The sequence below is a fragment of the Homo sapiens genome, chromosome 3 (assembly GCF_000001405.40).
Source record: "Homo sapiens chromosome 3, GRCh38.p14 Primary Assembly".
NCBI lineage: Eukaryota > Metazoa > Chordata > Mammalia > Primates > Hominidae > Homo > Homo sapiens.
In genome coordinates this window covers 195,776,674-195,803,043 of record NC_000003.12, presented here as the reverse complement: position 1 = coordinate 195,803,043, position 26,370 = coordinate 195,776,674, and the positions used below count along the sequence as shown (strand labels likewise).

General features: G+C 51.0%; 1 protein-coding gene across 3 annotated transcripts in view, besides 2 other annotated features; it reads left to right on the top strand.

The window, feature by feature from the left end:
- Positions 1–26,370, top strand: part of MUC4 (mucin 4, cell surface associated) — a 65,159-nt gene that overhangs the window by 8,886 nt on the left and 29,903 nt on the right. The window contains exons 2-3 of one of the 3 annotated variants that reach the window (NM_018406.7): positions 11,547–24,254; positions 24,589–24,741. The exons of 1 other annotated variant lie outside the window; for it this stretch is intronic. In NM_018406.7, coding sequence (NP_060876.5) covers positions 11,547–24,254; positions 24,589–24,741 — 12,861 coding nt within the window. The remainder of the gene's footprint in view (positions 1–11,546; positions 24,255–24,588; positions 24,742–26,370) is intronic. One more of the 3 variants, NM_004532.6, reaches the window with a different exon arrangement.
- Positions 21,253–21,752: an enhancer, noted in NCBI's record as "H3K27ac hESC enhancer chr3:195508163-195508662 (GRCh37/hg19 assembly coordinates)". NCBI's record gives its function as "activates a minimal SCP1, AML or CMV promoter by ChIP-STARR-seq in naive H9 embryonic stem cells {active_cell/tissue: H9 hESC(naive)}" and the evidence as "EXISTENCE:reporter gene assay evidence [ECO:0000049][PMID:30033119]".
- Positions 23,504–24,703: an enhancer, noted in NCBI's record as "BRD4-independent group 4 enhancer chr3:195505212-195506411 (GRCh37/hg19 assembly coordinates)". NCBI's record gives its function as "activates an origin of replication core promoter dependent on BRD2, P300/CBP, MED14 and CDK7 cofactors, and independent of BRD4, by STARR-seq in HCT116 cells {active_cell/tissue: HCT116}" and the evidence as "EXISTENCE:reporter gene assay evidence [ECO:0000049][PMID:35650434]".

Below are 26,370 nucleotides of genomic sequence, written 5' to 3'. Positions count from 1 at the left end.
AAGAAAAGGGAGGGAGTGTATACAGATGACAAGAAAAGGGAGGGAGTGTGTACAGACGGTGAGAAGAGGGAGGGAGTGTGTACAGATCGTGAGAAAAGGGAGGGGCGTGAAGTCTATTTTTAGGCTGAGGAAAACGGCCTTTGCAGCTGCCTCAAGGTTGTATTTGGAAACCCAAGAGAAAGGGGAAAACATGTTTAAAATGCATTTTGAATTTAAGCTGCCGGCTACAAAACTGAACAATGTCTCCCGCAGAAACGAGAAATCCCTTGGCGTGGCCATTTCTTATTACAGAAGCCACCCTGCCACGCACACAGACGCGCTGGAAGTATCTTTCCTCAGTCACAACCAGACGAAGGTCATTCTTGCCCAGTGGCCTCCCTCTGAGGATTCTGGTTTCTGACATCCGTGTCACAATGGCAATGCCAGTCACCAGTCTCTGACCACTAGACCCACGCCCCCGGGACCTACGCAGACACCCAGGACCAATGCCAGTCACCAGTCTGTGACCCCAGGACCTACCAGACACCTTCCAGGGCAGGCAGGGCAGGCCATTTTCCAAAGCAATTCGAGCTAAGGAGACAGCAGCAGCAACCCTCCCTCCTGGCCCTCAGAGCTGAGGATCAACCCACAGGGGTGCGGTGGAGGCTGAGAGCAGGGGTGCGGAACCCGAGTCAGCAGGGGCAGTGAGGAGGCTGCCGCAGTAGTCAAAGCGACGGGGAGGATGTGGCAAAGCAAACAAGAGGACGCGATGGGGTGAACACTTGGGAGGAAGATCAACGAGTACTGACTAGGACACAGGGGACAAGGAAGAGAAAGAAATCCAGAGGACCCACAGCTTTCTGGGCTGGATGTCTGGGGGACTGTTGTTAGCATGAACAGAAGGAAGGAAGAAAGCTTGCAAGGAAAGATTGACCTGGACCTGTTGCATTGCATGAGCTAGGCAGGAAATCCCTGGGAGGGTGAGGCCAGCATATGGGTGGGAAGTCAGGGAGAAGTACAGATTTGTAAGGCGTGAGAGTAGACGCAGGGTGGCCAGAGAGGGAGGGGCAGCAGGAGAGGGAAAGGGCTGGAGACATGTCATCTGGGCGTGGAGCGGGGGAGAGAGGTGGCAAGGGGAGTGGAGTGGAGGGCCCGGGAGCGTGGACGGTGGAGCAGGACCCGTCAGCTTCAATGAGGGTGAGGCTGGGTGGTGGCACGGGGCCGCCGGCCAGGGAGAGCACGTGGAGGGGGGGGCGCAATACACATCTGTCAGATTCATGAATGAATGAATGGATGGGGCCGAACTGATGAGACGCGTGAGGACTGGAGAAAATCGTTTTTGCTGTTGGGAAGGAGATTCTGGTAGCTCTGAGGAAAACGGCTTGAGCGAAGTGAGTGAGGTGGGGGCAGAGCGAGCAGTGCGTGGTAAAGAAGAGGCGGCAGGGGAAGCCCGGCTTTCATGCTGCTGGAGGGACGAGGAGGACACAGACGGATGACAGACTTGTTTTAGGCCAACAGACACCTGAACATGCTCACAGGCAGGAGAGAAGGAGAAAGGCAGAAAGAACGTCGGAGACACAGAGGCAGAGCAGTGAGCCATCCGGGCAGGAGGGAGCCCCGGGGCCCCGGGGAGGGTGCGGAGAAGGCTCTGGGCATTGAAGGAGATGAAGGGCACGGCTTTGGTTCTTTCAGTGAAGTAGAAAATGGAGGGTCACGGGGAGAGAAGAGAGAGGAGAGACCTGTTTCTCTCCAATATCAACTCTTTAGGCGCAAATCTCCCAGCTCTCTGCTCCCCAAGTTTATGCGTTTGGCCAGAGTGAGAACAAGTTTCAGTTGTCTGACAATCTGACGGAACCTGAAGGGCCTGACTTGCATCCTGGTGAGAGCCAAGGTCAGTTCATTCTGGCCAACACTTGAGCAGCAAGAACAAGGCTATGAGTATTTTTTAGAATAAAACTTGATCAAGGCTTCAAATTTCTCTGCCTGACAACTTCAGCGAGATGGTTTTGGCTTACAAACATTGTTAAGAGTGGATACTATCATTTTATTTTAAGGGAAGTGTTTCTGAACGTGGGGTCCACGGACCACCTGCATCAGAATCACTCTGGACATGTGTTAAAATGCTGATGCACCCTCTGCCTTTTGAGAACCACTTTTTTTTTTTTTTTTTTTTTCAGAGAAGGGGTCTTGAGCTATTGCCCAGGCTGGTCTCAAACTCCTGGCCTCAAGGAATCCTCCCGCCTCTGCCTGTCCGTGCTGGGATTTTAGGCATGAGCTACCATGCCCAGCTGAGAACCATTTTCTTACCAAAAATCATTCTCCATAGTCTCTCCATCCACTAGGATTTCTTTCTTTTTCTTCTTTGTAAAGATAGGTCATACTTGAACACAGGATTTCTTACCTACAAATAACCTACTCAAGCTTAGTAGATTGAGTTATCTGCAAATTGTTTTCCTAAACAGCTGAATAATCAATCTATTGCAGGAGTGGCTTCAGAGGTATTGTTTAAATGATGGTGAAAGACAAATGCAATAACTGTAGTTTTGTCGTAACGAATGCTAATCTCTTCCTCCTCACAAGCCCAACAGATTGAGAGATTTTGACAGCGCCTTCTCCCCTAGACAATAAAACTATGTCCTCCACATGCAGTGACTCACTTGCCCTCCTATTTGCGGCAGCAGGAAACTCTAATCAACTTGGCTCAAGATGAGCAAGTTCTCTAAATAAAGATTTAAAAGGAGGACTACCAGGACACAGCCCTGTTTAGCAAGAATTTTTTTTTTTTTTGAGATGGAGTCCCGCTCTGTCGCCCAGGCTGGAGTGCAGTGGCGCGATCTCGGCTCACTGCAACCTCCACCTCCCAGGTTTGAGAGATTCTCCTGCCTCAGCCTCCTGAGTAGCTGGGATTACAGGTGCACGCCACCATGCCTGGGTAATTTTTGTATTTTTAGTAGAGATGGGGTTTCATCATGTTGGCCAGGCTGGTCTTGAACTCCTGACCTCAAATGATCCACCCGCTTCGACCTCCCAAAGTGCTGGGATTACAGGTGTGAGGCACCGCACCTGGCCGATTTTCAGTCGATGCTGTGAAGCAAAGAGCAGCAGGTGAGGGATGGGGCCTGTCCTGGATCATGCCCCTTTGTTCACAGGCTAGGGATATGGGGAAACAGGCACACTCTTGCACACTGCCAACAGGTCTGTAAATTGGCATAAGCTTTCTGCAAAGAAATTTGGCAGTCTGTATTAATAACATGAAAAATTTTATAACGGCATAAACCAGCAATTCCACTGATAGAAATTTATGTTAAGGAGATGAGCTGAAATAATGTAAACAAAACATTAGACACGAAGATAGTCATCAGGGCTTTATTTAAAATAAGCAATACATTGGAAATATCCTAATTGTCCAACAGTAAGTTAACAATATGAGCTTTCTCTATGATGGCTTATTATTTAGTGTTTAGGCCGGGCGCGGTGGCTCACGCCTGTAATCCCAGCACTTTGGGAGGCTGAGGTGAGTGGATCACCTGAGGTCAAGAGTTTGAGACCAGCCTGGCCAACATGGTGAAACCCAGTCTCCACTAAAAATACAAAAAATTAGCCTGGCATGGTGGCACATGCCTGTAATCCCAGCTACTTGGGAGGCTGAAGCAGGAGAATCACGGAGGTGGAGGTTGCAGTGGGCCGAAATCGTGCCGTTGCACTCCAGCCTGGGCAACAAGAGTGAAACTCCATCTGGAAAAAAAAATGTTTAAAGGCTATGTCCAATGTTCCATAAGGGCAGGGACACACACACACAGTGTCACACACACACACACACACACACACACACACAGTGTCACACATACATACTAGCAACACACAGAACGGGCATAAAGTAAGATGTATTAAGGAGAAATTGCGAGCAGGGAGCAGTGGAGTCCACATGACCCCCGAGCTCTCATTGCACAGAGAGGTGGGTATGGTGGACACACAGCAGGATGTGGTACAGGAGAGAGACCTGCTCCTGTTTAACAGAAAATGGGAAGGGTAACAACGCTTCCAGTTGGGGGAGTGGCTTTGTTAGGAAGGAGGCCACCAGAGCTCAGCAGGGGGAGTTTTTATACAGCACCCTAGATTTTACTATGGAGCTGAGCTCTCCCAGTCCCCCTGAGCCAGCTCTTGTAGGACTCCAAAAGGGGGAAGCAAGGAACTGCCATCCAAGACATAAAAGATGTGCGTCTTCTCAGGCTATGTTTACGAAGCTAGTATCTTGAAGAAATGCTCATATCAGGTATGGCTAAAAAGGCAGGATACAAAATTATGTATACTGAATAAGTTAAACTATACATATATATTTTTTAATTTTTAATTTTTTTTTTGAGACGGAGTCTCACTCTGTCACCCAGGCAGGAGTGCAGTGGTGCAATCTCGGCTCACTGCAAGCTCCGCCTCCCGGGTTCACGCCATTCTCCTGCCTCAGCCTCCCGAGTAGCTGGGACTACAGGCGCCCGCCACCACGCCCGGCTAATTTTTTTGTATTTTTAGTAGAGACGGGGGTTCACCCTGTTAGCCAGGATGGTCTCGATCTCCTGACCTCATGATCCGCCCACCTCAGCCTCACAAAGCGCTGGGATTACAGGTGTGAGCCACCACGCCTGGCCTAAACTATATATTTTTTAAAGCATAAAAACATCCTGGAAGGAAGCATTGTCTGGTAGCAAGATTATGGGTTTTGATCTTTCAACTATAAATGTTCCCAAATGCACGTAACCAGTATGTGTGTTTTCTTTGGCATATTTCAATGCAGTTGTACAATTTTGTCCATAAAGATTAAGCACATCTTTTGTTAGATTTATTTTTATGTACTTTTTTTGGTCACCATCATAAACACTATAGTCTTAAAAATATTTTCTCTTTCACTGATATATAGGAATGCAGTTTTATTTTGTTTTTAAATCTCTTTTTGAGACAGAGTCTCCCTCTGTCATGCAGGCTGGAGTACAGTGGGGTGATCATAGCTCACTGCAGCCTCGAACTCTTGGGCTCAAGTGATCCTCCCCCCTCAACTTCTGAGTAGCTGGAACTATATGTGTGTGCTACTATGCCCAGCTAATTTTTTATTTTTTTATTTTTTATTTCTGTAGAGACAGGATCTTGCTATGTTACCCAGGCTGGTCTTGAACTCCTGGCCTCAAGTGTTCCTCCTGCCTCAGCCTCTCAAAGCACTGGGATTCAGGCATGAATCACCACACCCAGCTGGAATGCAATTATTTTTAAAATTTTGATTATGGATATAGAACTTTGCTAATAATGTATATGTTTGGGAAGTTTCTATGTAAACAATTATGTTATCTGCAAATAACCATAGGCTTGTTTCATCCCTTCCATACCCAAAATCACATTTCTGTACTCTCATACTTTTTGTTTAATTTTCTCGTCTTATTTCACCAGCTAAAACCTTCAACCTAATGTTGATTAGAAGCAGTGATTGTTGGCATCTTGTTTTTATTCCTGATTTTACAGAAACGTTTCTATTGTTTTAAGTATAATGTTTACACGGGGTTATAATTGACATTGTTTATCAGGTTAAAAGAGTTAACGTCTCTTTTTAGTTTGCTAGGAGTTTTAACAGGAGTAAGTGTTGACTTTTATCAAATAACTTTCCTGTATCTGCTGTGGTGATTGTGTCTCCCCTCCGTTCTGTTTATATGGTGATTTACATTAAGAAAGCATTGTCTTTATCTTGCATTTCTGATTTAAACTCAGCTTGATCATGATGTACTTTTAAAATATTTATTTATTTATTTATTTATTTAAGATAGAGTCCTGCTCTGTCACCAGGCTGGAGTGCAGTGGCACAATCTCGGCTCACTGCAATCTCTGCCTCCTGGGTTCAAGCAATTCTCGTGCCTCAGCCTCCTGAGTAGCTGGGATTACAGGTGTGTGCCACCAAGCCCAGCACACACCTGTAATCCAAAAAAATACAAATTTTTTGTATTTTTACCAGAGACGGGGTTTCTCTAGGTTGGCCAGGCTGGTCTGGAACTCCCGGCCTCAAGTGATCCGCCTGCCTCGGCCTGCCAAAGTGTTGGGGTTACAGGCGTGAGCCGCCGCGCCCGGCCATGATGCACTTTGGCTTGCTAATATTTTATTTACGATGCTTCCATGTATTATTACTGGGACTTATTAATCTATAGTTTGTCTTTCTTATCCTATCTTTGGTTTCCAACCTTATAAAATTATTAGTAGATCATTTCCTCCTGTTCCAAACTCTGAATATGTTTGTATAGAATTGAAATTACCTGTTCCTTGAATGTCTGATTTGCCTGTAAACTCATCTTAGCCTGCATTTTTTTGTGGGGTGGATAGATTATATATACATATTTTTTTTTGAGACGGAGTCTCACCTTGTCACCCAGGCTGGAGTGCAATGGCATGATCTCCGCTCACTGCAACCTCTGCCTCCCAGGTTCACGCCGTTCTCCTGCCTCAGCCTCCAGAGTAGCTGGGACTACAGGCGCCTGCCACCATGCCCAGCTAATTTTTTTTTCACCGTGTTAGCCAGGATGGTCTCAATCTCCTGACCTCATGATCCGCCTGCCTCACCCTCCCAACGTGTTAGGATTACAGGCGTGAGCCACCGCACCCGGCCTAGATTATATTTTTTAAACTGCTGATTCAATTTAAAATAGTTTATAGTGGCCGGGCGAGGTGGCTCATGCCTGTAATCCCAGCACTTTGGGATGCCGAGGTGGGTAGATCACCTGAGGTCAGGAGTTTGAGACCAGCCAGGACGACATGGTGAAACCCAGTCTCTACTAAAAATACAAAAATTAGCCGGGCGTGGTGGCATGCGCCTGTAATCCCAGCTACTTGGGAGGCTGAAGCAGGAGAATCTTGAACCTGGGAGGCAGAGGTTGCAGTGAGCTGAGATCATGCCATTGCACTCCAGCCTGGGCAACAAAGCAAGACTCTGTTTCAAAAAAATAAATAAATAAAATTAAATAAATAAAATAAAATAGTTTTTAGCCAGGTTTTTTTCTTAATTCATTTTTGATAAATTATATTTTTAAGGACAGTATATCCAATTTATCTAAGTTTTCATACTTTTTGGTATAAATTCATCAGAGCACTGTCTCTTAAATTTTTTTTCTGAAGTTATGTACCCTTTTTTGTTTCTAATAATCTTGATATCTGTGTCTTTTCTGTCTCTCTCTCTCCCTCCTCCCACCCCCCTCCCCCACTTTCTTTCTCTTGCCAGGTATTTGTTTTATTTTCAAAGAACTAATCTTTGGCTTCATTTATTCCATTTTTAATTGTTTCTATAGTGAGTTCTGGTCTGTTACTATATCCTTCATTCTGCTTCCTTTTTCTTTTTTCTTCCTGGTCTTTCTAGTCTACCTTTTTTGCTGGCGGTTCCAGCTTTTTGCAGGGAAACTCAGTTCAGTGTCGTGACCGAGGGTCTTGCTTCCTTTCCTTTTTCAGCCTTTCAGTCAGCACATTTCCAAGGGCATTGACTCACCATCTTAGTTGTTAACTTCTTCACTCCTGAGTGTTTCCCTTTCTTTCTTCTCATCTCACCTCTGCATTAGAAAACATTTATTACATTTATAACCTGTATTTATCTGGCATTGGCTGGTTTTGCTATTAGAGGCTTATCTCTTCTTCCATATTGCTGAAATGGAGCTGTGCCACTTTTATAAAGAACTACAAAAATCTTTACTTTAAAAAAAAGGACGGTGCTGTCATGAAACTTCTGCTGCTGACACTGATTTTAGCAGAGGTGATGCAGGCTCTGAAAAGATGTTAATTGCCAAGAATTTACACATTCAGAAAGTTTGGCCCCTAGATAGCTCCTGTCTACTCAAAGCCTGATGATAGACAAATGCTCTTAATTATGTTATCAGGGAAATGAAATAAGGTTAAAAATAACTGCATAGAGAATGTTTTTAAATTTAAACCTTATTTGGAGAAACCAAGTTTTGCAAATTTTCTCTAGGAGAAAGCAGGCATCGAGTTTAGAGTCCTATCAACAAATCTCAACCTAATTCCAACTAAAGGAAGTTTCCGTTTAAAGTTGAAGTGGAGTCATTTTGGATTAAGCCAGGGGCCCAGGGACCTCCCAGAGGGCTCTGCGGTTCAGCCCGTGCCTTTGTCCACGTCGGTTTACAAGTGTGTCACCAGTAAGCAGTTACTATTAATGAAGTGCAGAAGCTTGCACGTGAGTCACTTTTTTAACAATTAGAGCTGGTTCATAACCATTATCACTCACTTGAGAGTCTAAGTTACTGTCTGAAGAAGAGAAGGTGGCGAATTACAGTCAATTCCAGAAAGTGGACTTGAAGCTGAATTCTTCCCTGAGACTTTGTCTCTCTGAGTATCATCTTGCCAACTATCTAGGAGCACTGAGGTTGAAAAAAAGGGTGGGAGCGGTGGCTCACACCTTTAATCCCAGTACTTTGAGAGTCTGAAGCAGGAGGATCGCTTGAGGCCGGGAGTTCGACACCAGCCTAGGCAACATAGCAAGATTCCACCTCTACAGAAATAAAAAAATTACCCAGGCATGGTTGTGTGTGCCTGTAGTCCCAGCTACTCAGAAGGCCAATTACACCGCTGAACTTCAGCCTGGGTGACAGAAGACCCTGTCTCTCTTTCTCTCTCTCTCTTTCTTTCTCTCTCTCTCTCTTTCTTCTCTCTCTCTCTCTCTCTATATATATATGTTTAAAAAGAAAAAAGAAAGAAGTTTGAGAACAGCTAGGGAACTAATGAAAACCCAAAAGAGTCAGTTTCTAAGAGAAAAAAAAAGGCAAGTTTTCTTGGTTTCTTCTTGGTTCAGAGACTCAGAGGCTAAGGTAATATTCACGAAGATGGTATGTGGCTAGTGCAGGTGCTGTGAAATATTTTAAACAAAAAAAGCCAATATTTAAACATTCTGCCTGGGAAATATTTTTCTTTATTTATTTAATATCTATTTTTATTATTATTATTATTATTTTTATTTTTTAAGACACAGGGTCTCGCTATCTTGCCCAGGCTGGTCTCAAACTCCTGGCCTCGAGTGATCCTCCCACCTTGGCCTCCCAAAATGCTGGGATTACAGACATGAGCCACCATGCCTGGCCTCTGCCTGGGAAATAATTTTTTTTTAAAAAGTGGTTATGGTCAATAATATTAGCTTCTTGGTAGTCTGTGACCAGGGCAAGAGTATATGCATTTACCCCTTGGGTTTTTTACCAGATTGGCACAGATGTTAACAACGAAAAAGAAAAGTAGAAATTTAATTTATTTTTAAGAAAGATAATGCTATAATTCAAGTTGAGAGAGTTAACCCGGCTTATAGCAGGGGTACTGTTTGCCTCTTCCCATGGAGTTTAACACAGTTAATTCACCATTCTAGTCTAACCTCACCTTCCTCCTCACAAGGAAGACAGGCGGGAGCTGGAGAAGACCATTGGCTATATTCCTGCAACTGTGCTTTTTCTAGGCGATTTGAAGCAGTGCTTATCAGGGGCCTTCCTCTGTGGGAATCCTGCACCCCCATCTCTCTCTCCTTTTTTATTTTATTTATTTATTTTTTTTTTGAGACAGAATCTTGCTCTGTCGCCCAGGCTGCAGTGAAGTGGCATGATGTCTGCTCACTGCAACCTCCACCTCCTGGGTTCAAGCAATTCTCCTGCCTCAGCCTTTTGAGTAACTGGGATTACAGGCACCCACCACCACGCCCAGCTATTTCTGTATTTTTTTTTCTAGTAGAGACGGGGTTTTGCCATATTGCCCAGGCTGGTCTCGCACTCCTGACCTCAAGTGATCCACCCATCTCAGCCTCCCAAAGTGCTGGGATTGCAGGTGGGGCTACCATGCCCGGCCCCATCTCTTATTATTTTTTTATCCCCCAAATATGTACAGTTGTGATATATTAATTTTTCATTTTTTCTTTTTATTTCTTTTCATTTTTACTTTAAGTTTCAGGATACATGTGCAGAACGTGCAGGTTTGTTACACAGGTATATATGTGCCATGGTGGTTTACTGCACCTATCAACCCATCACCTGCATGTATTAGCTATTTATCCTGACGCTCTTCCTCCCCTTGTCCCGTCCCTGACAGGCGCCAGTGTGTGTTGTTCCCCTCTCTGTGTCCATGTGTTCTCATTGTTCAACTCCAACTTATGAGTGAAAACATGCAGTGTTTGGTTTTCTGTTCCCCTGTTAGTTTGTTGAGGATGATGGCTTTCAGCTTCATCCATGTACCTGCAAAGGACGTGATCCCATTCCTTTTTCATGGCTGCATAGTATTCCGTGCTGCATATGTACCACATTTTCTTTATCCAGTCTATCACTGATGGACATTTGGGTTGGTTTCATGTCTTTACTATTGTAAATAGTGCTGCAGTAAACATACGTGTGCATGTATCTTTATAACAGAATGATTTATATTCCTTTGGGCATATACCCAGTAATGGGATTGCTGGGTCAAATGGTATTTCTGGTTCTAGATCCTTGAGGAATCGCCACACTGTCTTCCACAATGGTTGAACTGATTTACACTCCCACCAACAGTGTAAAAGCGTTCCTATTTCACCACAGCCTTGCCAGCATCTGCTGTTTCTTGACTTTTTAATAATTGCCATTCTGAGTGGTGTGAGATGATATCCCTTTGTAGTTTTGATTTGCATTTCTCTAATGATCCATGATGATGAGCCTTTTTTCATATGTTTGTTGGTGGCATAAATGTCTTCTTTTGATAAGTGTCTGTTCATATCCTTTGCCTGCTTTTTGATGGGGTTGTTTATTTTTTTCTTGTAAATTTAAGTTCCTTGTAAATTCTGGATATTAGACCTCTGTCAGATGGTTAGATTGCAAAAATTTTCTCATTTTGTAGGTTGCCTGTTTGCTCTGATGATAGTTTCTTTTGCTGTGCAGAGCTCTTTAGTTTAATTAGATCCCATTTGTCAATTTTAGCTTTTGTTGCAAGTGCTTTTGGAGATTTCATCATAAAATCTTTGCCTATGTCTATGTCCTGAATGGTATTGCCTAGGTTTTCTTCTAGGGTTTTCATGGTTTGGGGTTTTACATGTAAGTCTTTAACCTGCCTTGAGTTAATTTTTGTATAAGGTGTAAGGAAGGGGTCCAGTTTCAGTTTTCTGCATATGGCTAACCAGTTTTCCCAGCACCATTTATTGAATAGAGAATCCTTTCCCCATTGCCTGCTTTTGTCAGGTTTGTCAAAGATCAGATGGTTGTAGATGTGTGGTCTTATTTCCAAGGTATCTATTCTGTTCCATTGGTTTATATGTCAGTTTTGGTACCAGTACCATGCTGTTTTGGTTACTGTAGCCTTGTAGTATAGTTTGAAGTCAGGTAGCCTCCCACTTTGTTCTTTTTGCTTAGGATTGTCTTGGCTATTTGGGTTCTTTTTTGATTCCATATGAATTTTAAAGTAGTTTGTTCTCATTCTGTGAAGAATGGTAGTTTTCACATCCTTTGTTAGCTGTATTCCTAGGTATTTTATTCTATTTGTAGCAATTGTGAATAGGAGTTCATTCATGATTTAGCTCTCTGCTTGCCTATTTTGGTTCACTCCAGGAACCACAGAGGACACATTAATAACTGGAAGTAAAACTGCTGCCCCAGTCACCTCAACAGGCTCAACAACAGCGACACTAGAGGGACAATCAACTGCAGCTTCTTCAAGGACCTCTAATCAGGACATATCAGCTTCATCTCAGAACCACCAGACTAAGAGCACGGAGACCACCAGCAAAGCTCAAACCGACACCCTCACGCAGATGATGACATCAACTCTTTTTTCTTCCCCAAGTGTACACAATGTGATGGAGACAGCTCCTCCAGATGAAATGACCACATCATTTCCCTCCAGTGTCACCAACACACTCATGATGACATCAAAGACTATAACAATGACAACCTCCACAGACTCCACTCTTGGAAACACAGAAGAGACATCAACAGCAGGAACTGAAAGTTCTACCCCAGTGACCTCAGCAGTCTCAATAACAGCTGGACAGGAAGGACAATCACGAACAACTTCCTGGAGGACCTCTATCCAAGACACATCAGCTTCTTCTCAGAACCACTGGACTCGGAGCACGCAGACCACCAGGGAATCTCAAACCAGCACCCTAACACACAGAACCACTTCAACTCCTTCTTTCTCTCCAAGTGTACACAATGTGACAGGGACTGTTTCTCAGAAGACATCTCCTTCAGGTGAAACAGCTACCTCATCCCTCTGTAGTGTCACAAACACATCCATGATGACATCAGAGAAGATAACAGTGACAACCTCCACAGGCTCCACTCTTGGAAACCCAGGGGAGACATCATCAGTACCTGTTACTGGAAGTCTTATGCCAGTCACCTCAGCAGCCTTAGTAACATTTGATCCAGAAGGACAATCACCAGCAACTTTCTCAAGGACTTCTACTCAGGACACAACAGCTTTTTCTAAGAACCACCAGACTCAGAGCGTGGAGACCACCAGAGTATCTCAAATCAACACCCTCAACACCCTCACACCGGTTACAACATCAACTGTTTTATCCTCACCAAGTGGATTCAACCCAAGTGGAACAGTTTCTCAGGAGACATTCCCTTCTGGTGAAACAACCACCTCATCCCCTTCCAGTGTCAGCAATACATTCCTGGTAACATCAAAGGTGTTCAGAATGCCAACCTCCAGAGACTCTACTCTTGGAAACACAGAGGAGACATCACTATCTGTAAGTGGAACCATTTCTGCAATCACTTCCAAAGTTTCAACCATATGGTGGTCAGACACTCTGTCAACAGCACTCTCCCCCAGTTCTCTACCTCCAAAAATATCCACAGCTTTCCACACCCAGCAGAGTGAAGGTGCAGAGACCACAGGACGGCCTCATGAGAGGAGCTCATTCTCTCCAGGTGTGTCTCAAGAAATATTTACTCTACATGAAACAACAACATGGCCTTCCTCATTCTCCAGCAAAGGCCACACAACTTGGTCACAAACAGAACTGCCCTCAACATCAACAGGTGCTGCCACTAGGCTTGTCACAGGAAATCCATCTACAGGGACAGCTGGCACTATTCCAAGGGTCCCCTCTAAGGTCTCAGCAATAGGGGAACCAGGAGAGCCCACCACATACTCCTCCCACAGCACAACTCTCCCAAAAACAACAGGGGCAGGCGCCCAGACACAATGGACACAAGAAACGGGGACCACTGGAGAGGCTCTTCTCAGCAGCCCAAGCTACAGTGTGACTCAGATGATAAAAACGGCCACATCCCCATCTTCTTCACCTATGCTGGATAGACACACATCCCAACAAATTACAACGGCACCATCAACAAATCATTCAACAATACATTCCACAAGCACCTCTCCTCAGGAATCACCAGCTGTTTCCCAAAGGGGTCACACTCAAGCCCCGCAGACCACACAAGAATCACAAACCACGAGGTCCGTCTCCCCCATGACTGACACCAAGACAGTCACCACCCCAGGTTCTTCCTTCACAGCCAGTGGGCACTCGCCCTCAGAAATTGTTCCTCAGGACGCACCCACCATAAGTGCAGCAACAACCTTTGCCCCAGCTCCCACCGGGGATGGTCACACAACCCAGGCCCCGACCACAGCACTGCAGGCAGCACCCAGCAGCCATGATGCCACCCTGGGGCCCTCAGGAGGCACGTCACTTTCCAAAACAGGTGCCCTTACTCTGGCCAACTCTGTAGTGTCAACACCAGGGGGCCCAGAAGGACAATGGACATCAGCCTCTGCCAGCACCTCACCTGACACAGCAGCAGCCATGACCCATACCCACCAGGCTGAGAGCACAGAGGCCTCTGGACAAACACAGACCAGCGAACCGGCCTCCTCAGGGTCACGAACCACCTCAGCGGGCACAGCTACCCCTTCCTCATCCGGGGCGAGTGGCACAACACCTTCAGGAAGCGAAGGAATATCCACCTCAGGAGAGACGACAAGGTTTTCATCAAACCCCTCCAGGGACAGTCACACAACCCAGTCAACAACCGAATTGCTGTCCGCCTCAGCCAGTCATGGTGCCATCCCAGTAAGCACAGGAATGGCGTCTTCGATCGTCCCCGGCACCTTTCATCCCACCCTCTCTGAGGCCTCCACTGCAGGGAGACCGACAGGACAGTCAAGCCCAACTTCTCCCAGTGCCTCTCCTCAGGAGACAGCCGCCATTTCCCGGATGGCCCAGACTCAGAGGACAAGAACCAGCAGAGGGTCTGACACTATCAGCCTGGCGTCCCAGGCAACCGACACCTTCTCAACAGTCCCACCCACACCTCCATCGATCACATCCACTGGGCTTACATCTCCACAAACCGAGACCCACACTCTGTCACCTTCAGGGTCTGGTAAAACCTTCACCACGGCCCTCATCAGCAACGCCACCCCTCTTCCTGTCACCTACGCTTCCTCGGCATCCACAGGTCACACCACCCCTCTTCATGTCACCGATGCTTCCTCAGTATCCACAGGTCACGCCACCCCTCTTCCTGTCACCAGCCCTTCCTCAGTATCCACAGGTCACACCACCCCTCTTCCTGTCACCGACACTTCCTCAGAATCCACAGGTCACGTCACCCCTCTTCCTGTCACCAGCTTTTCCTCAGCATCCACAGGTGACAGCACCCCTCTTCCTGTCACTGACACTTCCTCAGCATCCACAGGTCACGTCACCCCTCTTCCTGTCACCAGCCTTTCCTCAGCATCCACAGGTGACACCACCCCTCTTCCTGTCACTGACACTTCCTCAGCATCCACAGGTCACGCCACCTCTCTTCCTGTCACCGACACTTCCTCAGTATCCACAGGTCACACCACCCCTCTTCCTGTCACCGACACTTCCTCAGCATCCACAGGTCACGCCACCTCTCTTCCTGTCACCGACACTTCCTCAGTATCCACAGGTCACACCACCCCTCTTCATGTCACTGATGCTTCCTCAGCATCCACAGGTCAGGCCACCCCTCTTCCTGTCACCAGCCTTTCCTCAGTATCCACAGGTGACACCACGCCTCTTCCTGTCACTAGCCCTTCCTCAGCATCCACAGGTCACGCCACCCCTCTTCTTGTCACCGACACTTCCTCAGCATCCACAGGACACGCCACCCCTCTTCCTGTCACCGACGCTTCCTCAGTGTCCACAGATCACGCCACCTCTCTTCCTGTAACCATCCCTTCCGCAGCATCCACAGGTCACACCACCCCTCTTCCTGTCACCGACACTTCCTCAGCATCCACAGGTCAGGCCACCTCTCTTCTTGTCACCGACACTTCCTCAGTATCCACAGGTGACACCACGCCTCTTCCTGTCACTAGCACTTCCTCAGCATCCACAGGTCACGTCACTCCTCTTCATGTCACCAGCCCTTCCTCAGCATCCACAGGTCACGCCACCCCTCTTCCTGTCACCAGCCTTTCCTCAGCATCCACAGGTGACACCATGCCTCTTCCTGTCACTAGCCCTTCCTCAGCATCCACAGGTGACACCACCCCTCTTCCTGTCACCGACGCTTCCTCAGTATCCACAGGTCACACCACCCCTCTTCATGTCACTGATGCTTCCTCAGCATCCACAGGTCAGGCCACCCCTCTTCCTGTCACCAGCCTTTCCTCAGTATCCACAGGTGACACCACGCCTCTTCCTGTCACTAGCCCTTCCTCAGCATCCACAGGTCACGCCACCCCTCTTCTTGTCACCGACACTTCCTCAGCATCCACAGGACACGCCACCCCTCTTCCTGTCACCGACGCTTCCTCAGTGTCCACAGATCACGCCACCTCTCTTCCTGTAACCATCCCTTCCGCAGCATCCACAGGTCACACCACCCCTCTTCCTGTCACCGACACTTCCTCAGCATCCACAGGTCAGGCCACCTCTCTTCTTGTCACCGACACTTCCTCAGTATCCACAGGTGACACCACGCCTCTTCCTGTCACTAGCACTTCCTCAGCATCCACAGGTCACGTCACTCCTCTTCATGTCACCAGCCCTTCCTCAGCATCCACAGGTCACGCCACCCCTCTTCCTGTCACCAGCCTTTCCTCAGCATCCACAGGTGACACCATGCCTCTTCCTGTCACTAGCCCTTCCTCAGCATCCACAGGTGACACCACCCCTCTTCCTGTCACCGACGCTTCCTCAGTATCCACAGGTCACACCACCCCTCTTCCTGTCACCAGCCCTTCCTCAGCATCTACAGGTCACACCACCCCTCTTCCTGTCACCGACACTTCCTCAGCATCCAAAGGTGACACCACCCCTCTTCCTGTCACCAGCCCTTCCTCAGCATCTACAGGTCACACCACCCCTCTTCCTGTCACCGACACTTCCTCAGCATCCACAGGTGACACCACCCCTCTTCCTGTCACCAATGCTTCCTCATTATCCACAGGTCACGCCACCCCTCTTCATGTCACCAGCCCTTCCTCAGCATCCACAGGTCACGCCACCCCTCTTCCTGTCACCAGCACTTCCTCAGCATCCACCGGTCACGCCACCCCTCTTCCTGTCACCGGCCTTTCCTCAGCTACCACAGATGACACCACCCGTCTTCCTGTCACCGACGTTTCCTCGGCATCCACAGGTCAGGCCACCCCTCTTCCTGTCACCAGCCTTTCCTCAGTATCCACAGGTGACACCACGCCTCTTCCTGTCACTAGCCCTTCCTCAGCATCCACAGGTCACGCCAGCCCTCTTCTTGTCACTGACGCTTCCTCAGCATCCACAGGTCAGGCCACCCCTCTTCCTGTCACCGACACTTCCTCAGTATCCACAGCTCACGCCACCCCACTTCCTGTCACCGGCCTTTCTTCAGCTTCCACAGATGACACCACCCGTCTTCCTGTCACCGACGTTTCCTCGGCATCCACAGGTCAGGCCATCCCTCTTCCTGTCACCAGCCCTTCCTCAGCATCCACAGGTGACACCACCCCTCTTCCTGTCACCGACGCTTCCTCAGCATCCACAGGTGACACCACCTCTCTTCCTGTCACCATCCCTTCCTCAGCATCTTCAGGTCACACCACCTCTCTTCCTGTCACCGACGCTTCCTCAGTGTCCACAGGTCACGCCACCTCTCTTCTTGTCACCGACGCTTCCTCAGTATCCACAGGTGACACCACCCCTCTTCCTGTCACCGACACTAACTCAGCATCCACAGGTGACACCACCCCTCTTCATGTCACCGACGCTTCCTCAGTATCCACAGGTCACGCCACCTCTCTTCCTGTCACCAGCCTTTCCTCAGCATCCACAGGTGACACCACGCCTCTTCCTGTCACTAGCCCTTCCTCAGCATCCTCAGGTCACACCACCCCTCTTCCTGTCACCGACGCTTCCTCAGTACCCACAGGTCACGCCACCTCTCTTCCTGTCACCGACGCTTCCTCAGTGTCCACAGGTCACGCCACCCCTCTTCCTGTCACCGACGCTTCCTCAGTGTCCACAGGTCATGCCACCCCTCTTCCGGTCACCGACACTTCCTCAGTATCTACAGGACAGGCCACCCCTCTTCCTGTCACCAGCCTTTCCTCAGCATCCACTGGTGACACCACGCCGCTTCCTGTCACCGATACTTCCTCAGCATCCACAGGTCAGGACACCCCTCTTCCTGTCACCAGCCTTTCCTCAGTATCCACAGGTGACACCACGCCTCTTCCTGTCACTAACCCTTCCTCAGCATCCACAGGTCACGCCACCCCTCTTCTTGTCACCGACGCTTCCTCAATATCCACAGGTCACGCCACCTCTCTTCTTGTCACCGACGCTTCCTCAGTATCCACAGGTCACGCCACCGCTCTTCATGACACCGATGCTTCCTCATTATCCACAGGGGACACCACCCCTCTTCCTGTCACCAGCCCTTCCTCAACATCCACAGGTGACACCACCCCTCTTCCTGTCACCGAAACTTCCTCAGTATCCACAGGTCACGCCACCTCTCTTCCTGTCACCGACACTTCCTCAGCATCCACAGGTCACGCCACCTCTCTTCCTGTCACCGACACTTCCTCAGCATCCACAGGTCACGCCACCCCTCTTCCTGTCACCGACACTTCCTCAGCATCCACAGGTCAGGCCACCCCTCTTCCTGTCACCAGCCCTTCCTCAGCATCCACAGGTCACGCCATCCCTCTTCTTGTCACCGACACTTCCTCAGCATCCACAGGACAGGCCACCCCTCTTCCTGTCACCAGCCTTTCCTCAGCATCCACAGGTGACACCACCCCTCTTCCTGTCACCGACGCTTCCTCAGTGTCCACAGGTCACGCCACCTCTCTTCCTGTCACCAGCCTTTCCTCAGTATCCACAGGTGACACCACTCCTCTTCCTGTCACTAGCCCTTCCTCAGCATCCACAGGTCACGCCACCCCTCTTCATGTCACCGACGCTTCCTCAGCATCCACAGGTCACGCCACCCCTCTTCCTGTCACCAGCCTTTCCTCAGCATCCACAGGTGACACCACGCCTCTTCCTGTCACTAGCCCTTCCTCAGCATCCACAGGTCACGCCACCCCTCTTCATGTCACCGACGCTTCCTCAGTATCCACAGGTGACACCACCCCTCTTCCTGTCACCAGCTCTTCCTCAGCATCCTCAGGTCACACCACCCCTCTTCCTGTCACCGACGCTTCCTCAGCATCCACAGGTGACACCACCCCTCTTCCTGTCACCGACACTTCCTCAGCATCCACAGGTCACGCCACCCATCTTCCTGTCACCGGCCTTTCCTCAGCTTCCACAGGTGACACCACCCGTCTTCCTGTCACCAACGTTTCCTCGGCATCCACAGGTCATGCCACCCCTCTTCCTGTCACCAGCACTTCCTCAGCATCCACAGGTGACACCACCCCTCTTCCTGGCACCGACACTTCCTCAGTATCCACAGGTCACACCACCCCTCTTCTTGTCACCGACGCTTCGTCAGTATCCACAGGTGACACCACCCGTCTTCCTGTCACCAGCCCTTCCTCAGCATCTACAGGTCACACCACCCCTCTACCTGTCACCGACACTCCCTCAGCATCCACAGGTGACACCACCCCTCTTCCTGTCACCAATGCTTCCTCATTATCCACACGTCACGCCACCTCTCTTCATGTCACCAGCCCTTCCTCAGCATCCACAGGTCACGCCACCTCTCTTCCTGTCACCGACACTTCCGCAGCATCCACAGGTCACGCCACCCCTCTTCCTGTCACCAGCACTTCCTCAGCATCCACAGGTGACACCACCCCTCTTCCTGTCACCGACACTTACTCAGCATCCACAGGTCAGGCCACCCCTCTTCCTGTCACCAGCCTTTCCTCAGTATCCACAGGTGACACCACGCCTCTTCCTGTCACTAGCCCTTCCTCAGCATCCACAGGTCACGCCACTCCTCTTCTTGTCACCGACGCTTCCTCAGCATCCACAGGTCAGGCCACCCCTCTTCCTGTCACCAGCCTTTCCTCAGTATCCACAGGTGACACCACGCCTCTTCCTGTCACTAGCCCTTCCTCAGCATCCACCGGTCATGCCACCTCTCTTCCTGTCACCGACACTTCCTCAGCATCCACAGGTGACACCACCTCTCTTCCTGTCACCGACACTTCCTCAGCATACACAGGTGACACCACCTCTCTTCCTGTCACCGACACTTCCTCATCATCCACAGGTGACACCACCCCTCTTCTTGTCACCGAGACTTCCTCAGTATCCACAGGTGACACCACCCCTCTTCCTGTCACCGACACTTCCTCAGCATCCACAGGTCACGCCACCCCTCTTCCTGTCACCAACACTTCCTCAGTATCCACAGGTCACGCCACCCCTCTTCATGTCACCAGCCCTTCCTCAGCATCCACAGGTCACACCACCCCTCTTCCTGTCACCGACGCTTCGTCAGTGTCCACAGGTCACGCCACCTCTCTTCCTGTCACCGACGCTTCCTCAGTGTTCACAGGTCATGCCACCTCTCTTCCTGTCACCATCCCTTCCTCAGCATCCTCAGGTCACACCACCCCTCTTCCTGTCACCGACGCTTCCTCAGTGTCCACAGGTCACGCCACCTCTCTTCCTGTCACCGACGCTTCCTCAGTGTCCACAGGTCATGCCACCCCTCTTCCTGTCACCGACGCTTCCTCAGTGTCCACAGGTCACGCTACCCCTCTTCCTCTCACCAGCCTTTCCTCAGTATCCACAGGTGACACCACGCCTCTTCCTGTCACCGACACTTCCTCAGCATCCACAGGTCAGGCCACCCCTCTTCCTGTCACCAGCCTTTCCTCAGTATCCACAGGTGACACCACCCCTCTTCCTGTCACCGACACTTCCTCAGCATCCACAGGTCACGCCACCTCTCTTCCTGTCACCGACACTTCCTCAGCATCCACAGGTCACGCCACCCCTCTTCCTGACACCGACACTTCCTCAGCATCCACAGGTCACGCCACCCTTCTTCCTGTCACCGACACTTCCTCAGCATCCATAGGTCACGCCACCTCTCTTCCTGTCACCGACACTTCCTCAATATCCACAGGTCACGCCACCCCTCTTCATGTCACCAGCCCTTCCTCAGCATCCACCGGTCACGCCACCCCGCTTCCTGTCACCGACACTTCCTCAGCATCCACAGGTCACGCCAACCCTCTTCATGTCACCAGCCCTTCCTCAGCATCCACCGGTCACGCCACCCCGCTTCCTGTCACCGACACTTCCTCAGCATCCACAGGTCACGCCACCCCTCTTCCTGTCACCAGCCTTTCCTCAGTATCCACAGGTGACACCACGCCTCTTCCTGTCACTAGCCCTTCCTCAGCATCCACAGGTCACACCACCCCTCTTCCTGTCACCGACACTTCCTCAGCATCCACAGGTCAGGCCACCGCTCTTCCTGTCACCAGCACTTCCTCAGCATCCACAGGTGACACCACCCCTCTTCCTGTCACCGACACTTCCTCAGCATCCACAGGTCAGGCCACCCCTCTTCCTGTCACCAGCCTTTCCTCAGTATCCACAGGTGACACCACGCCTCTTCCTGTCACTAGCCCTTCCTCAGCATCCACAGGTCACGCCACTCCTCTTCTTGTCACCGACGCTTCCTCAGCATCCACAGGTCAGGCCACCCCTCTTCCTGTCACCAGCCTTTCCTCAGTATCCACAGGTGACACCACGCCTCTTCCTGTCACTAGCCCTTCCTCAGCATCCACCGGTCATGCCACCTCTCTTCCTGTCACCGACACTTCCTCAGCATCCACAGGTGACACCACCTCTCTTCCTGTCACCGACACTTCCTCAGCATACACAGGTGACACCACCTCTCTTCCTGTCACCGACACTTCCTCATCATCCACAGGTGACACCACCCCTCTTCTTGTCACCGAGACTTCCTCAGTATCCACAGGTCACGCCACTCCTCTTCTTGTCACCGACGCTTCCTCAGCATCCACAGGTCACGCCACCCCTCTTCATGTCACCAGCCCTTCCTCAGCATCCACAGGTGACACCACCCCTGTGCCTGTCACCGACACTTCCTCAGTATCCACAGGTCACGCCACCCCTCTTCCTGTCACCGGCCTTTCCTCAGCTTCCACAGGTGACACCACCCGTCTTCCTGTCACCGACATTTCCTCGGCATCCACAGGTCAGGCCACCCCTCTTCCTGTCACCAACACTTCCTCAGTATCCACAGGTGACACCATGCCTCTTCCTGTCACTAGCCCTTCCTCAGCATCCACAGGTCACGCCACCCCTCTTCCTGTCACCAGCACTTCCTCAGCATCCACCGGTCACGCCACCCCTGTTCCTGTCACCAGCACTTCCTCAGCATCTACAGGTCACACCACCCCTCTTCCTGTCACCGACACTTCCTCAGCATCCACAGGTGACACCACCCCTCTTCCTGTCACCAGCCCTTCCTCAGCATCTACAGGTCACACCACCCCTCTTCATGTCACCATCCCTTCCTCAGCATCCACAGGTGACACCAGCACTCTTCCTGTCACCGGCGCTTCCTCAGCATCCACCGGTCACGCCACCCCTCTTCCTGTCACCGACACTTCCTCAGTATCCACCGGTCACGCCACGCCTCTTCCTGTCACCAGCCTTTCCTCAGTATCCACAGGTGACACCACCCCTCTTCCTGTCACCGACGCTTCCTCGGCATCCACAGGTCAGGCCACCCCTCTTCCTGTCACCAGCCTTTCCTCAGTATCCACAGGTGACACCACCCCTCTTCTTGTCACCGACGCTTCCTCAGTATCCACAGGTCACGCCACCCCTCTTCCTGTCACCGACACTTCCTCAGCATCCACAGGTGACACCACCCGTCTTCCTGTCACGGACACTTCCTCAGCATCCACAGGTCAGGCCACCCCTCTTCCTGTCACCAGCCTTTCCTCAGTATCCACAGGTGACACCACCCCTCTTCTTGTCACCGACGCTTCCTCAGTATCCACAGGTCACGCCACCCCTCTTCCTGTCACCGACACTTCCTCAGCATCCACAGGTGACACCACCCGTCTTCCTGTCACGGACACTTCCTCAGCATCCACAGGTCAGGCCACCCCTCTTCCTGTCACCATCCCTTCCTCATCATCCTCAGGTCACACCACCCCTCTTCCTGTCACCAGCACTTCCTCAGTATCTACAGGTCACGTCACCCCTCTTCATGTCACCAGCCCTTCCTCAGCATCCACAGGTCACGTCACCCCTCTTCCTGTCACCAGCACTTCCTCAGCATCCACAGGTCACGCCACCCCTCTTCTTGTCACCGACGCTTCCTCAGTGTCCACAGGTCACGCCACGCCTCTTCCTGTCACCGACGCTTCCTCAGCATCCACAGGTGACACCACCCCTCTTCCTGTCACCGACACTTCCTCAGCATCCACAGGTCAGGCCACCCCTCTTCCTGTCACCAGCCTTTCCTCAGTATCCACAGGTGACACCACCCCTCTTCCTGTCACCGACGCTTCCTCAGCATCCACAGGTCACGCCACCCCTCTTCCTGTCACCATCCCTTCCTCAGTATCCACAGGTGACACCATGCCTCTTCCTGTCACTAGCCCTTCCTCAGCATCCACAGGTCACGCCACCCCTCTTCCTGTTACCGGCCTTTCCTCAGCTTCCACAGGTGACACCACCCCTCTTCCTGTCACCGACACTTCCTCAGCATCCACACGTCACGCCACCCCTCTTCCTGTCACCGACACTTCCTCAGCTTCCACAGATGACACCACCCGTCTTCCTGTCACCGACGTTTCCTCGGCATCCACAGGACATGCCACCCCTCTTCCTGTCACCAGCACTTCCTCAGCATCCACAGGTGACACCACCCCTCTTCCTGTCACCGACACTTCCTCAGTATCCACAGGTCACGCCACCTCTCTTCCTGTCACCAGCCGTTCCTCAGCATCCACAGGTCACGCCACCCCCCTTCCTGTCACCGACACTTCCTCAGTATCCACAGGTCACGCCACCCCTCTTCCTGTCACCAGCACTTCCTCAGTATCTACAGGTCACGCCACCCCTCTTCCTGTCACCAGCCCTTCCTCAGCATCCACAGGTCACGCCACCCCTGTTCCTGTCACCAGCACTTCCTCAGCATCCACAGGTGACACCACCCCTCTTCCTGTCACCAATGCTTCCTCATTATCCACAGGTCACGCCACCCCTCTTCATGTCACCAGCCCTTCCTCAGCATCCAGAGGTGACACCAGCACTCTTCCTGTCACCGATGCTTCCTCAGCATCCACCGGTCACGCCACCCCTCTTCCTCTCACCAGCCTTTCCTCAGTATCCACAGGTGACACCACGCCTCTTCCTGTCACCGACACTTCCTCTGCATCCACAGGTCAGGCCACCCCTCTTCCTGTCACCAGCCTTTCCTCAGTATCCACAGGTGACACCACGCCTCTTCCTGTCACCATCCCTTCCTCAGCATCCTCAGGTCACACCACCTCTCTTCCTGTCACCGACGCTTCCTCAGTGTCCACAGGTCACGGCACCCCTCTTCCTGTCACCAGCACTTCCTCAGCATCCACAGGTGACACCACCCCTCTTCCTGTCACCGACACTTCCTCAGCATCCACAGGTCACGCCACCCCTCTTCCTGTCACCGACACTTCCTCAGCATCCACAGGTCACGCCACCCCTCTTCCTGTCACCAGCCTTTCCTCAGTATCCACAGGTCACGCCACCCCTCTTGCTGTCAGCAGTGCTACCTCAGCTTCCACAGTATCCTCGGACTCCCCTCTGAAGATGGAAACACCAGGTAGCTGCCAACTGCCTCGCCTTTATGTCTCCCAGTGGGCCCCTTGGCGGAATTCAGCCTAAGGAGTACCTGAGAACACTGGTGCATTCGCATTACCTGGTGGGGCCGTGTCAGGTCCCACAGGGGAGGAGGTGATGGGTGTGGTGGGTGACAGGCTCACCCTCCTTTGTGCCGCAATCGAAAAGCACTGATGTCGAGAGTAGTTTGGATATGAGCAGGGGAGAGACAAGGAGTTTCCAGCTCCCTCTTCCAGCTCCTGATTTCTTTGAATCTCTTTGACTCTCCTGTTTTGTTACTGTAAGAAACACCCCGCCTTGTCTTTTCACGTGTCCAGGAATGACAACACCGTCACTGAAGACAGACGGTGGGAGACGCACAGCCACATCACCACCCCCCACAACCTCCCAGACCATCATTTCCACCATTCCCAGCACTGCCATGCACACCCGCTCCACAGCTGCCCCCATCCCCATCCTGCCTGAGAGAGGTGAGGCCATACAGGTGAGGCCTGTGCCTTTTGAGGGGTGATGTAACTGAAGGCTCCCTCTCAGCCTACTTCCCACAGTCTCCGCTCTCTCGGGTGGGGAGGGCCTTACCGAGGACAGGGACACAGCATCGGAGTCGCTCCTGAGGGCTGGCTTTGTGCATGGCACTGGGCCAGGAGCTGGAGACAGAGAAATGACCCCAGTGCCATTCAGCAAGGGATAGATGGACGGTCCGGTAGCGGCGGTTAGAGGACTCATCCCAGGGTCTAAGTGCACACAATGGAAGGCCCTAAGGAATGCAGAGCCGGGGATGGAGGAGCACCCCAGGCAGGGAGGAGGGCGGGAACAGCTGGAACAAAGGTGTGGAAGGTATGGGTGTGGAAGGTATGGGTGTGGAAGGTATGGCTGTGGAAGGTATGGGTGTGGAAGGTATGGGTGTGGAAGGTATGGGTGTGGAAGGTATGGATGTGGAAGGTATGGGTGTGGAAGGTATGGGTGTGGAAGGTATGGGTGTGGAAGGTATGGGTGTGGAAGGTATGGGTGTGGAAGGTAAGGGTGTGGAAGGTATGGGTGTGGAAGGTATGGGTGTGGAAGGTATGGGTGTGGAAGGTATGGATGTGGAAGGTATGGGTGTGGAAGGTATGGGTGTGGAAGGTATGACTGTGGAAGGTATGGGTGTGGAAGGTATGGGTGTGGAAGGTATGGGTGTGGAAGGTATGGGTGTGGAAGGTATGGGTGTGGAAGGTATGGGTGTGGAAGGTATGACTGTGGAAGGTATGGGTGTGGAAGGTATGACTGTGGAAGGTATGGGTGTGGAAGGTAAGGGTGTGGAAGGTATGGGTGTGGAAGGTATGGGTGTGGAAGGTATGGGTGTGGAAGGTATGGGTGTGGAAGGTAAGGGTGTGGAAGGTATGGGTGTGGAAGGTATGGGTGTGGAAGGTATGGGTGTGGAAGGTAAGGGTGTGGAAGGTATGGGTGTGGAAGGTATGGGTGTGGAAGGTATGGGTGTGGAAGGTATGGATGTGGAAGGTATGGGTGTGGAAGGTATGGGTGTGGAAGGTATGACTGTGGAAGGTATGGGTGTGGAAGGTATGACTGTGGAAGGTATGGGTGTGGAAGGTATGGGTGTGGAAGGTATGGGTGTGGAAGGTATGGATGTGGAAGGTATGGGTGTGGAAGGTATGGGTGTGGAAGGTATGACTGTGGAAGGTATGGGTGTGGAAGGTATGACTGTGGAAGGTATGGGTGTGGAAGGTATGGGTGTGGAAGGTATGGGTGTGGAAGGTATGGGTGTGGAAGGTATGGATGTGGAAGGTATGGGTGTGGAAGGTATGGGTGTGGAAGGTATGACTGTGGAAGGTATGGGTGTGGAAGGTATGACTGTGGAAGGTATGGGTGTGGAAGGTAAGGGTGTGGAAGGTATGGGTGTGGAAGGTATGGGTGTGGAAGGTATGGGTGTGGAAGGTATGACTGTGGAAGGTATGGCCGTGGAAGGTATGGGTGTGGAAGGTATGGGTGTGGAAGGTATGGGTGTGGAAGGTATGGGTGTGGAAGGTATGGGTGTGGAAGGTATGGGTGTGGAAGGTATGACTGTGGAAGGTATGGGTGTGGAAGGTAAGGGTGTGGAAGGT